Source organism: Homo sapiens, chromosome 10 (assembly GCF_000001405.40).
Source record: "Homo sapiens chromosome 10, GRCh38.p14 Primary Assembly".
Lineage (NCBI taxonomy): Eukaryota > Metazoa > Chordata > Mammalia > Primates > Hominidae > Homo > Homo sapiens.
Genome location: NC_000010.11, coordinates 28,254,454 through 28,269,224, shown reverse-complemented (window position 1 = coordinate 28,269,224; position 14,771 = coordinate 28,254,454). Strand labels below are relative to the sequence as shown.

The following is a 14,771-nucleotide window of genomic DNA, read 5'->3' as shown; positions in this document are numbered from 1 at the left end:
AATGGGGTTAGGATAGCAGGGCATGTTCCTCACCTGCCTCTCCCAAAGGTCCTGCATCAATCAGATGAGCAGGGTTTTAGAGACGTAAAGTATTTATATCACACTGAATCCATGGCTTCAGTCATAAGTAATCAAAATGTTTAAGGAAGTAGAAATAGTTATGGGAAAGAAAGTCCTTACTTTTGAGTAAAAGGTGTATGTAATTACAGGTGGATTTGCTGTATATATTCATGAATATTCCTGAAGGAAGAGTAGTTTCATGAGTCTATAATATTAGCCCCATTTTCTTTTTCTTTGTTTTTTTTTGAGACGGAGTCTCGGTCTGTTGCCCAGGCTGGAGTGCAGTGGCGCAATCTTGGCTCACTGCAAGCTCTGCCTCCTGGGTTCATGCCATTCTCCTGCCTCAGCCTCCCGAGTAGCTGGTACTACAGGTGCCTGCCACCACGCCTGATTAGCCCCATTTTCTACAATTGCCTTTTTTTTTTTTTTTGAGACAGAGTCTCACTCCGTCATCGAGGCTGGAGTGCAGTGGTGCATTCTCGGCTCACTGCAATCTTCTCTGCCTCTCATGTTCAAATGATTCTTCTGCCTCAGCTTCCTGAGTAGCTGGGATTACAGGTGTGCACCACCACACCCGGGTAACTTTTGTATTTTTAGTAGAGACGGGGTTTCACCATGTTGACCAGGCTGGTCTCGAACTCCTTACCTCAAGTCATCCGTGTGCCTTGGCCTCCCAAAGTGCTGGGATTACAGGCATGAGCCACCGCGCCTGGCCCCTAATTGTCTTTATAATAAAAATGGTTTTTAAAAATGTAAAAATTAAAATTCAGATTTAAAGTGGCTTACAACGTACTCTATGATGTAACCTTTGCCTACAGTTCCTTCTTTATCAAAATTTCTCTGGCTCATTTTGTTCCAGCCACATCTTCTTTAGAACATATTGGGCTCTTTCCTTCTTCCCAGCCTGAATTCTTCTTGTACCTTCTGCCGGATGCCCTTGTCTCTCACATGGCGGTTCCCTGCCCCACAGTGATTCAGGGCTGAGCTTAATTGCACCTGCTTAGAGAAACTTCACCTTCTACCCAATATAGAGTATGCCTCCTCTCTACTCACATTTGTTATTCTTCATTTATTTAATTTTATTTTAATGTAATTTTTGTTTGTTTGTTTGTTTGTTTTTGTTTTTTGAGGCAGGGTGGGTGTACTTCACCAGCCTGGGTGGAGTACAGTGGTACTTCACTGCTCACTGCAGCCTCGACTTCCCACGTCCCAGCTATCCTCCCACCTTAGCCTCCCGAATAGCTGGGATTACAGGCATGCACCAGCACGCCCGGCTAATTTTTGTGTTTTTGGTAGAGTTGGAGTTTCACCGTGTTGCCCAGGCTGGTCTCAAACTGCTGACCTCAAGTGATCTACCTGCCACAGCCTCCCAAAGTGCTGGAATTACAGGTGTGAGCCATCGTGCCTGGCTCGTTATTCTTTCAAATAGTATTATCTACTTTTCTTTTACCATGTTGATCACATTTTATACAGGTTGGGTATCCCTTATCTGACATGCTTGGGACCAGAAGTGTTCTGGATTTTATTTTATTTTTCTTTTGGAATATTTGCATTATACCAGTTGCTCAAGCATCCCTAATCTGAAAATCCAAAATCTGTAATGCTCTAGTGACCATTTCCTTTGAGCATCATGTTGATAATTTTGGATTCTGGAGCATTTTGGATTTCAGATTTTTGTATTAGAGATGCTCAACCTGTGGTATTTATTGCTTCTTTGTTTATTTATTTGACTACCTGAGTGTGTTGTCTTTTTTGCTTGCTAGATTATAAGCTCTGTGAAGGTCAGGGATGTGCCTGTTTTGTTCACCACACTATACCCAGCATCTAAAGGCAGCAATTGCCTCATAGTAAATATTCTAATATTTGTTAACTTACTGAATGGATCCAACTAATGCAGAGGTTAGCAAATATTTTTTTTGTAAAGGCCAGATGCAATGTACTAAGCTTTGCAGGTCCAGTGGTCTCTGCTTCAAATATTCCACTTTGCCATTGTAACATAAAAGCAGCTGTAGACAATATATAAGTGAATGAACTTGGCTGTGTTTCAATAAAACTTTATTTATAGGAACAGATGGTGGGCCAACTTGCTGTAGTTTTTAGGCCCCCGAACTAACGCATATGGCAGAACAGATGGCACACGGCATACCTTAGCTCTTTGACATCTGTGACAATGTTGATGGGCCTAGTGACTAAGGTTTTAGAGGCAACCTAAGCAGATAGCACACTTGGATTAAATATTAACCAGAATTAGTTGGAACAAGAAACACTTATTGAGCACTTACTGCATGCCAGATGCACTGGAAACTAGAGACATAAAGTTAATGATGCTCAAAGGCTGTGGTTCTTGAAGAGTTTACTGACTATTGAGAAACAGACAAGCTAACAATTATAACATGGGGACAATGCTGATTGGGGTACACATATGGTGTCAGAGGGACATAGAAGAGACAGCACCATAGCTTAGAAAGAGCAAGGTTTTAAGAAAGTGATTACAAAAATGAAACAGGAAGGAGATAAGGAAACCAGCATCTATTGAGGAACTTCTCTCTGTTGTGTTATCCATGCATTCACTTTTTTTTCTTTTTTCTTTTTTTAAAGTCAGGGTCTCACTCTGTCACCCAGGCTGGAGTACAGTGGCATGATCATAGCTCACTGCAGCCTCCAACTCCTGAGTTCAAGAGATCCTTCTGCCTCATATGTTAACTTTTTCTAATTCTTCATGGCAAAACTATATGTTATGAGGACCTGAAGCGCAGAAGTTGTGGGAGGTGGCAGAGCTTGATGTTACAATTTGAGGACCGTGAAAGCATTTCTCTTTAGAATCAGGCTCAAGTTCAGATCCCTGCTCTACTTCTTTATTGACTTGGGTAAATTGTTGAACCTCTAAACTGAAAAGGCCCTTGTGGGCTGGGCACAGTAGCTCAAGTTTGTAATTCCACCACTTTGGGAGGCTGAGGAGGGTGGATCACTTGAGGTCAGGAGTTCGAGACCAGCCTGACCAACATGGTGAAAACCCGTCTCTACTAAAAATACAAAAATTAGCTGGGCACGGTGGTGGGCGCCTGTAATCCCAGCTACTAGGGAGGCTGAGGCAGGAGAATCGCTTGAACTCGGGAGGCGGAGGTTGCAGTGAGCCTCCTGAGTACTCCAGCCTGGGTGACAGAGTGAGACCCTGTCTCCAAAACAAAACAAAACAGAACAGAAGGCCCTTGTGAAGGTCAGATGAGAGAGTCTTGTAAATCCCTTAGCATGTAAGTACTTATGCTTACCTAAGTATTCAAGCAATAATGTAGTTTTTTTGCTCTTAAAAATATAATTTAAACCCAGGTCTGGATAATCCTAAAACCCATTCTTTCCCTTTCCTCTGCACTTACTCTGCTTATTGGATTTCATTAAAAGAAAGCACAGTTTGTGCCAACATTTATTAACTCGATAAAGTTAAAAAAGCTATGATATGTATTTCTTGGTTATTGAACAATGGAACAGACACATTATCAACACTGAATAATTTATAGACATTTTACACTGAGAAACCATTTGTTGGAAAAAGAGTTTCAAAGTGGAATTTTTTTAAGATGTAAAGGCATTTTTTGGGGGTGGGGTGGGGAGACAGGATCTTATGCTGTTGCCCAAGCTGGAGTGCAGTGGCATGATCTTGGCTCACTGCATTCTTGACCCCCTGGACTCAAGCAATCCTCCCACCTCAGCCTCCCAAGCAGCTGGGACTACAGGTATGTACCACCATGCCTGGCTAAGTTTTGCATTTTTTGTGGAGATGGGGTTTCGCCAAGTTCCCCAGGCTGGTCTCGAACTCCTGAGCTCAAGCAGTCCCCCCGCCTTGGCCTCCCAAAGTGTTGGGATTACAAGCTTGAGTCACCATGCCCAGCGTAAATGCATTTTGATATGAGCTGAGCTCATAATTCTGTTCTTTTAAACATTCTTTATCAATTACCCCTTCTCGTTTTTGCATCTTTAACCTGTTGACTCAGGTCTACCTGTTTTTAAAAATATCAGCAGCAACAACAGTAAAAGCAATACCTCTGATGGGAACTCAGGGACCTATCTCTTGTCTCTTTTTATACATAACTTCCTCAATGGGAGGTGCATCCTGAGTACTGTTCTATCTCTTGAATTGATTCTGCCCTTGTCCTGTCTGTCTACCCTATAATCTCCACTAATGAAACTGGTAGAGAGGATGCCTTCTAATTAGTATTTTTATATTTCTCAATATCAACAGCATTTGGAGATGAGGACTGTGCCTTCTTCCTGAAAGTCTCTCTTCCTTGGCTTCTAAGATGGTACTGGTGAATTAATCTTCCAAGACACCATTCTGAACATGTCCTTTTTACCCACCGCCACCATAAAATCCTTAGGCCAGCATTGGAAATCATTCTTTCATTCCAACACTTACCTTTTATTTTATCCCAACTGTAATAAACAGTTTCCTTCACATGCTCTGTGCTTCCCACTTCCATATGTTTGCTCAAGCTGTTGAGAGATGGTGGAAATTAATGCTTGGGCTCTTCAGTCAGACTTTCTGTCTTTTTCTTTGATCGTTTGAGATTATATTTTATTTAAAAAAAAAAAAAAAGCTCCCTGAGGCCAGGGCTGGTGTCTGTGTTGCTTATCTCCACTCTAATTTTGTGACCAAGGCAGACACCAGGACGGTCTAATTTAAAGTGCAGCCTTCTCACGTGGTGGGGTTTCTGGTCCACCAGCGCCCCATCCTGAGGATCTGTGGTCTCAGGGCTGGGCACTAGATTTCTTGCATTTTTCCTTATTTTTTTGCCAGTCATTCCTGGCTCTGATGCTCCTCTTTGTCCCTGTTGCTGCTCTTTGCCCCAATTTTTAGCTAAAATGAGACTTAAAAAAAAGAGACAGGGTCTTACTATGTCACCCAGTCTGTAGTGCAGTGGTGCAATCGTAGCTCACTGTAACCTTGAACTCCTGCCATCCTCCCACCTCAGCCTCCCAAGTAGCTGGGACTGCAGGTGAGTGCCATCCTGCCTGGTTAATTTTCAAAATTTTTTTGTAGAGACAGGGTCTCCCTATGTTGTCCAGGCTGGTCTCCAACTCTTGGCCTCAAGCGTTCATCCTGCCTCGGCCTCCCAAAGTGCTGGGATTGCAGGCATGAGCCACTGTACCTGGCCTAGAATGGGGCTTTTTATTTGGTTCCTGAAACTGTGCCTATCTCTCAAACTTTCTTTTTTCTGGGGATTGAAGCTCTGCCTCTGGAATTGGGTATGGAGCTAGAACGCTTTCCCTACCTGACTCCCAAGCTGCCAGACTTCCCATTGCTATCTTCCATCTGTGAGATTTGGATACTATTCCTGTGTCTTGGAAATTCTGGTACCTGCTGTTGCCTGCATCACCACTAAGGTTCCCACATGTGTCGGATGTTTCACCTGGCGCCTTCAGCTGCAGCTCCTCCGTCTGCTTCTGAGCTGAGATATGCCGCTCCTCTCTGCCCCTCCCCTGCCATCCTTTCCTCTTTGCAGATCGTGGGCCAGCTCCAAGATCCCTCCCCTTCCTCCTGGCTTGGTTGGTCACGCTTCACAGCCAAATCCTGAGAAAGGGAAACACTTCAGTGTTGATTTTAGAAGTCTTCTGTATATGGCTCATGAGCCAATTTAATTTTTCATCACAATCTACATTGACGGGAAAAATGTAGCTCTGTAGAACTTTTAAGAGCCAACTGGCAGTGGTGGATCAAGGTCGGGGGACACTTTTGGGGCTTTATCCCTTCTGTAATACCCCACCTCCTTTATTTGACATGAACAGTTTCCGTGTTCTGAATATTTATTTGCAGAACTATGCAAACACAGCTTCAAACCTTGTGACTTTACCCTCCCCAGGCCCATCAGGTCACATTCCTCATTTCTTAAATTCAAGATTGGCTGCTACCAGATGGTAGTGGCCCTTTCACTCAGCGTATTTAGATGAAAGCAATTTGAATACACTACCACCAGAGAAATTTGGGTTTTCTTTAAAATATTTTATTATTGCCTCTGATTTATATGTGGTCAGGTACTTAGACACCTGAGTGCAGGTAGACTCATTATGTTTCTTTTTAAATGTGAGATTTATTTTTATTTTATTTTATTTTTTTGAAACGGAGTCTCGCTCTGTTGCCCAGGCTGGAGTGCGGTGGTGCGAACTCAGCTCACTGCAGCCTCCGCCTCCTGGGTTCAAGCGATTCTCGTGCTTCAGCCTCCTGAGTAGCTGGGATTATAGGCACATGCCACCTCTCCTGGCTAATTTTTTTATTTTTAGTAGCGATGGGGTTTCACCATGTTGGTCAGGCTCATGCCTAACTCCTGACCTCAAATGATCTGCCCACCTCGGCCTCCCAAAGTGCTGGGATTACAGGCGTGAGCCACTGCGTCCGGCTAAATGTGAGATTTAGCATTGTATTAGTCTCCTCAAGCCACTCAAGTAAGAGTTCCTGAGCTGTGTACATGATTGGACTTTAGAGTCTAATGAATGTACAACCTGTTTAGAATAGGTGCAGCTTTTTGTGTAACTAGCGAATGTTTCTTAGGAAAGAAAGGATCCATAGTTTTCATCAGATTAAAAAATGTCTGTGGCTTCCAAAGGGCCAAAGGCCATTTATACTAGAGTATTATTTATGACACCTGTGTAGTAACCTAAAATATTTGTGACAACTTTTTAAAAGGACTTGCAGTTACTGGCTTAATGCATTGTGCCTCTTTGGGATATACTGTTAGTTTCATTATAAATTACTAGTTCAGTCAAAAATTATATTATTGGCTGGGCATGGTGGCTCACACCTGTAATCCCAGCACTTTGGGAGGCCGAGGCCGGTGGATCACAAGGTCAGGAGAGCGAGACCATCCTGGCCAACATGGTGAAGAAAAAAAAAAAAATATATATATATATATATACATATATATATATATGTATATATATATATATATGTATATATATATATATATGTATATATATATATATATATATAATTTATTTATTTATTTATTTCCTTTTTCTTTTTTTTGAGACAGAGTCTTGCTCTGTCGCCCAGGCTGGAGTGCAGTGGTGCATTCTCAGCTCACTGCAACCTCTGGTCCCAAGTTCAAGCGATTCTCCTGCCTCAGCCTCCTGAGTAGCTGGGACTACAGGTGTGCGCCACCATGCCCGGCTAATTTTTTGTATTTTTAGTAGAGATGGGGTTTCACCATGTTGGCCAGGCTGGTCTTGAACTCTTGACCTCAAGCAATCCACCCACCTCGGCCTCCCAAAGTGCTGGGATTACAGGTGTGAGCCATAATGGGGTCTTGTTATGTTGCCCAAGCTGGTCTCGAGCTCCTGGGCTCAAGCAATCCTCCTGCCTCGGCCTCCCAAAGTGTTGAGGTTACAGACATGAGCCATTGGCACCTGGCCAAAAATTATAAATGGAGAGATAGAAAGTGAGATAAACCGGTCTCTCTCTCAGGATAGAGAAATGTATTTGTGAGTATATTGTATGATCAGTTTCTTGTACTACATTGGAGGGTGTTCTACGTCATTGTCATTGGGGTGTGTCTGATATCCACACTCTGTGTACTCTGGGGTCACCTGATGGAGAAGGCTGTGCTGCCTAGGTATGTATTTGGAGGTCAGCAGAAGAGTGGAGGTGTTGCAACCTTGGATAAGTACTGTGGCTTTCTCTGCTGTCCCACTTATGACCACATTTAGGATAGAATGGCAGGGACAATGGTTTGCCTCGCTTAAATCTTAGTGGAACTATGGTGACTGCGCTGGATCTGGTCTTTGACTCATTTCAATATAAAAAGCACTGGCCAGTGGAGCGCAAAGCCACCGTGTTGGTGGGAAGTATGTTTGTGATAAACACCATAGGGTTCCACCCCAGTGAATGACTTGGGCAGTCTTTCGTTAAGTCATGGTTCAGTGTTCTGCTCACCTTGCTAGGAAGGAAAGTGTTCACAGTTAATTCTGTGTTTTCTCACCTGTGTGTAGGATCTACTTTTGCTAACAAGCATACATCACTGCCAAAATGGTTAATTCTGGAAAGAGAACTACAGAGACAAAGTATATAAAGAGCAATTTTTCTTAGTTGAAAGATTAAAGATAATTGATTGAATTGGGGACCCATCTGGCTTTGTGATTTGCTGGAGTGACTTATGAAAACTAATTGCTTTGGTAAAGAACTAGGCTATTAAAGAATAAATTTTATAGTGTAATTTTGTAGGCACCTTACATACTTGGAAAAACCATTTGAATTCTTTCTCTAACATCAATTGGGCATAAAATAAATCAACTCACACTGAGTTGAAATGCATCATGTAGAAAACAGAGCCTTTTCACTTTCACTTTAAATTGTGCCAGAAGAAACATGCTATTTAAAAAAAATTTTTTTTTTTTTTTTTTTTTTTTTGAGATGGAGTCTCTCTGTTACCCAAGCTGGAGTGCAGCAGCACAATCTTGGCTCACTGCAACCTCCGCCTCCTAGGTTCGAGCGATTCTCCTGTCTCAGCCTCTTGAGTAGGTGGCACTACAGGCATGTGCCACCATGTCTGGCTAATTTTTGTATTTTTAGTAGAGACAGGGTTTTGCCCTGTTGGTCAGGCTGGTCTCATTCCTGACCTCAGGTGATCCGCCCACCTTGGCCTCCTAAAGTGTTGGGATTACAGGCATGAGCCACCATGCCTGGCCAGAAACATACTATTTGGTTAGAACATAGTTAAATATAGTCTCTGGTATTTTCATATGTTTTAGATTTCTTTATCTTGACAAGTGATTGAAGGAAAGAACCATTTATAGTCTGTAGGTATAAGGAAGCTTTGTATAACTGCTTCAGATCATTAACTAATGCATACATATAGACTAATACATAATATAATACATAGATCATTTATAGAGAGCCAGGGAGACTGGAATGGATGAATTGCCACTGGAAATGATTGAATACTTTTTAGATAATTAAGCATGTATTAATTAACAAGTAGAAAGAGGGATGGACTCAAATATGTCGATGATGATAATGCCATAAAATTATTGTAACAGTATTTATAAATAGCTGCTAATATAGTGTTTTCTGTGTTTTTGTTTGTTTTGTTAAATATCAATGTTTCCTAAGTATGGACATGCAGGGTTATTTCTGAAGTATTCTAATGAAGAGTTTTTGTTTTAAGCACTATGCTTTTCTTGTTATGGGGGACAGAGTGACAGACTCTTGCTCTGTCACCCAGGCTGGAGTGCAGTGGCACAATCATGGCTCACTGCAGCCTTGACTTCCTGGACTCAGGTGATCCTCCCACCTCAGCCTCCTGAGCAGTTGGCATTACAGGGGCACACCACCGTGCCTGGCTAATTTTTTGTATTTTTTTGTAGAGATGGGATTTTGTCATGTTGCCCACGCTCTGGCCTAGAACTCCTGGGCTCAAGCGATTCTCCCACCTCAGCCTCCCAAAGTACTGGGATTCCAGGCATGAGCCACTGCACCTGCCCATATGCTTTTATTTTCATGCATATTAGAAAACATAACTAACTCATCTCCTGCCTCCCTGCATCCTTCTCTTCTCTCCCCTCCCCCTCCCCTCATCTTTTTCTTTTTCTTTTTGATGGAGTCTCTCTCTGTCACCCAGGCTGGAGTGCAGTGGTGCAATCTCGGCTCACTGCAGTGGTTCAGTCCCACCTCCTGGGCTCAAGTGATTCTCCCTCCTCAGCCTCACAAGTAGCTGGGACTACAGGCGTGCACCATGACGCCTGGCTAATTTTTTGTATTTTTATCAGAGACAGGGTTTCACCATGTTGCCCAGGCTGGTCTCGAACTCTTGAGCTCAAGCAATCCGCTGGCCTAGACCTCCCAAAGTGGTGAGATTACTGGTGTGAGCCACTGCACCTGGCCTCACTGTAGGTATTTAAAAGGAGTCTAAAATAGGTATTTAAATAAAATAACTCTGTGTAAGAAAATTGTTAAGTAAAAAAGTAGTTTTGTATGTAATGTAAAAATTGTGAGGCTGGCATATGAATGATCAAAAGTGTGAGAACTACTAATTTAGGTGACTGATAAACAGCTGTTTCTGTTTAAATTCATTAATATATTTTAGAGTTAAAAAAAAACCTGGTGGAGGATGAATGGTGGTGGGCTGTCTACATTAGAGGTGCAGTTTCACCTGTAAGTTTGAGTCCTGAGCCTTCTCATTCTCTGAGTAAAAGTTCTGAGACATGTTACACAAAGGCTCTTTCTTTTTTCCCTTTAGCAGCTGTTTAGTGCAGTAATAACTTGGTGTTTTCACAGAAATAGGGATTTCTGTTTTTCCACTGTGTGGAGAGCTCTCTCTCCCACTCCACAGGAGTAGAGACAGGAGATACACTGTGATATCTCTGATTCTAGCATAGTGCCTGGTGGTTGCTCAGTAAATGTTCTTTGGATACCTGTAATTGCCATTTAGTAAAACTAATAGGAGTAAAATGTAATATATTTTATTTAAATATATATTTAGGCCAGGCGCGGTGGCTCAAGTCTGTAATCCCAGTACTTTGGGAGGCTGAAGTGGGCAGATCATTTGAGGTCAGGAGTTGAAGACCAGCCTGGTGAACATGGTGAAACCCTGTTTCTACTAAAAATACAAAAATTAGCCAGGTGTGGTGGGGCATGCCTGTAATCCCAGCTACTTGGGAGGCTGAGGCAGGGGAATTGCTTGAATCTGGGAGGCTGAGGTTTCAGTGAGCTGAGATCATGCCACTGCACTCTAGCCTGGGTGACAGAGTGAGACTCTGTCTCAAAAAAAAATTTATATATATATATATATATATATAATATTTAATATGTTATTTATATCTTATCAGTCCTAAGTATAATAGGAAATTTACTAGATAGTAGTATATATAGGCAAACTGTAGACTTTTGGTATTAATAGCAGCAATGCCTTTTTTTTTTTTTAACCTTTCTTGTCTTCTTGGTGGTCTCACCTTGACTCTACTTGAAAAGGTGACAGGAGTGTGACGAAGTGGAAGGAACATCGGGTTCTAGACTTGTGTCTGTCCCCTTCTTATAGAATCTGGGATGGGAAGGATGGAATGGAGGTGTAACCTACCTTAGAAGGTGTGGGTTAAGTGTGAAATAATAGCTGCATAAATACTCAATATTGTCAAGTTCTGCAGATGTGTATGTTTATGTTATTTGTGTACTGTAAGGTGTCAGCACAGGACTGTAATACCTTACCTAGAAATGATTATATTTACTCCCCGCAGAATGTCTGCCCTTTTCTCATTGAGAAGCCAAAACAGAGCCCCCCATTAAACAAAATTTAATGTTCATGGGGGTTTGTCAGAAATGTGGAGATATCACATTGTATTGATCAGGAATTGCATGTAGCTATTACAGACATAGAACCTGTTATAAAAAAGAGTTACGTTCATGGAAACAAGCTTTCTTTTCTTTTTTTTTTTTTTTATTATACTTTAAGTTTTAGGGTACATGTGCACTTTGTGCAGGTTAGTTACATGTGTATACATGTGCCATGCTGGTGCGCTGCACCCACTAACTCGTCATCTAGCATTAGGTATATCTCCCAATGCTATCCCTCCCCCCTCCCCCCACCCCACCACAGTCCCCAGAGTGTGATATTCCCCTTCCTGTGTCCATGTGATCTCATTGTTCAATTCCCACCTATGAGTGAGAATATGCGGTGTTTGGTTTTTTGTTCTTGCGATAGTTTACTGAGAATGATGATTTCCAATTTCATCCATGTCCCTACAAAGGACATGAACAAGCTTTATTTTCTATGAAGATATCTGAGAAGGTTTTCTTTGGGAGTTTTATATAAATTCTGTGTTTAATATCTTCCTTAATATGTTGGTTTTCAGTTTCCTTATCATAATTAAAGAATATAAGGAAGACATACTTGATTGGTTTCACCAAGCTCAGACCTTCCCTCCCAGGCACCAGATAAATGATATTATTTCCAGTTCGTGTCATGACATGAAACGCTGAATTGCGCTTGTTGCTTTTTAATACTGTGACATCTCAACTGCTGTCATTGGTTTTAATCTGTGGGTGATCTTGGAAAGGGATAGGTTTGATGTAGGTAGCCTAGAACCTTCTCAGGGATTGTGGAATATGTTGAAACTTATGCTGTTTCTGAGAACTATCTTTCTCCTTTCTGTGGGTCAGGCTGACATAACTCAGAGCACTTGTAATCATGACTGTAGCCAACTGTGGTTACCTGCAGAGGCTTAGATCAAATAGGAATTTGTCTCTTCATTTACTCACTCGGCATACATTGAATGAGCATCTCTGTACTGGGCATGGGGGAAGATGACTTATTATTTGTCTTGGTTCTTAAGGAATTTATAGTCTAATGGAGGAGAAAGACACACAGATTCTCATATAAATGGATGGCGTACAATGATAGATTAAATAGGCTTTGAGACTTACAGTGGAACTGTGGGCCATGATTGCCATTTGAATTTTAAAAAATTAATAGAATGTATGATTTTTCTGTTCTTAGTTATATACGTAAGACTTGAATAAATACTCATTGTGAAATAAGAAAGGTAGAAAGATTATAGCCTAAAAACGAGTCCAATTTTATATCCCATCCTCCTCCCTGTGCCACTTTTCATTATTATTATTTTTTAAAACCATTGCCTGATTGATGAACATTTTAGGTCATTACTTTTTTTTCCTGTCTAATGATGCTTAGTCAGTTTTTTTGCACATATATATATTTGTTTACCTGTGTGAATTATGTCTGCAGTGAAATTCTTAGAAGTAGAATCTTGGCTGGAGTATTTTTCTGGGGGTGCATTTAATCTGTTATTGGAATTCATATTAATATTAGAATTAATAGGCTTTTTTTTTTTTTTTTTCCCTGAAAGCAACTGAAAATGTATGGCAATGTGGAGTTGCAGGGCAGTAGTCCTAATGGTTTAGCTACAGCATCTGCATAGGTCTTTTATATAGAAAGTGTCTGGGTAGTGGTGTTTGACCTTGGTAACTTTTCTCTCTGCCATTTGAGCCGCTGCTGTCTTCATATCCTCCCTATCTAGAAATTCCCTCTCCAAAGTTGTTCCATATTCCAAAATTTCCCTTTTCACACTCCTAGTATACTGTTGACCTCAGGTAGGCACAGTTTTGATTGTCAGAGCAAAGAAAATTAACCATGTATGTCTTTCCAGATAGTAGAATTTTCAGGGTATTCCATGAGTTCCAAAGGATGATTTGTATGAAGTATATTTCACTAAGTATAAAGGAAGTAAAACACTCATACTATGGTCTCTTCCCTCTCCTCTTCACCTCCCAGTGCCTCTCTACAAACTTTTTAGGATACCACTAATGAGTACTTGACATATTCATAGTTAGTCCATAAACCTGAGAGTGCTCCTGGATCCTCATAGGTATTTCATTGCACTCTGTGATTGGAATTTTGTTTGTTAAAATTGACTAGGAAACTATATTTCAGTAACAAATATGTAGAATTAAGAAAAAGATGGGCTGGGCACAGTGGCTCATGCCTGTAATCCCAGCACTTTGGGAGGCTGAGGCAGGTGGATAAAGAGGTCAGGAGATTGAGACCATCCTGGCTAACATGTTGAAACCCTGACTCTACTAAAAATTAGCTGAGCATGGTGGCACGTGCCTGTATTCCCAGCTACTTGGGAGGCTGAGGCAGAAGAATCGCTTGAACCTAGGAGGCGGAGGTTGCAGTGAGCCAAGATCACGCCACTGCACTCCAACCTGGGTGACAGTGAGACTCCGTTGCAGAAAAAAAAAAAAAGAAAAAGGTGGGCCAGGCGGTGGCTCACGCCTGTTATCTCAGCACTTTGGGTAGGCTGAGGGTGGATCATTTGAGGTCAGGAGTTTGACACCAGCCTAGCCAACATGGTGAAACCCCGTCTCTACTAAAAATACAAAAACTAGTCAGGCGTGGTGGCGGGCACCTGTAATCTCAGCTACTCGGGAGGCTGAGGCAGGAGAATCACTTGAACCTGGGAGGCAGAGGTTGCAGTGAGCTGAGATAGCACCATTACACTCCAGCCTGGGTGACAGAAAAGATGAGTTCCTATCCCTTTTCTTTACATTTGTTTTTTCAAAGTATGTTTGCACTATGTTAGAGTGAGTGCATACATTTAGAGAACAACAGGGGAAAATGCTAGAAATTCAGTAACTTCTAGTTTCCATTTTATAACAAATGTATTTTTATTATTAGCTTCCTACTGGAATCCTACTCCCCACCATTATGTCATCATTTTCACATCCACGGTCTGTAGCGATTATGTCCATGTGGGGCCTCAGTAGTTTTCCCTTTAATTTTGTGCAGATTTCCTTACTGCATAAACTCAACTGCTCTCACTGAGGTCGTCATTAAGTCCTGTGTGTGTTTGGGCAGGCCGACTTGATTTACAGCCAGCACTCCACTGCGGGTGAGTAAGATGGCAAGTTTCTCCCTGTTTTTCCTCTCAGCCCTTCCTATCTAGAGTGCAGATAACATAATTACTCAGTTAAATATCATCTGCCCAGGTTTTCATTTTGAGATAAATCTATATTGTGGTTATCTGCATTATACTTAAAACTTACACCGAAGATAATTCTGTTGGATAGGTTTTAAGTAATTATCTTCAGTATTTCCTTTTCATTTATGATATGAGGCATAGCAAATCTTGGATTCCTTGATATTAAAATAGATAAGATCAAGCTGTGAACTCAGGATGAGTCAGTACTGTTTTAAGAGTTGGATTTGCCA

At 41.5% G+C, this 14,771-nt stretch overlaps 1 protein-coding gene across 17 annotated transcripts in view; it reads left to right on the top strand.

Moving 5' to 3' along the window:
* The window catches only part of MPP7 (MAGUK p55 scaffold protein 7), a 284,211-nt gene that overhangs the window by 65,979 nt on the left and 203,461 nt on the right, over window positions 1–14,771 (top strand). For 6 of the 17 annotated variants that reach the window (XM_047424645.1, XM_047424644.1, XM_047424648.1 and 3 more), the window contains one exon: window positions 14,349–14,451. The exons of the other annotated variants lie outside the window; for them this stretch is intronic. The gene's annotated coding sequence lies outside the window, so the exon portion shown is untranslated. The remainder of the gene's footprint in view (window positions 1–14,348; window positions 14,452–14,771) is intronic. 17 annotated transcript variants of the gene reach the window in all.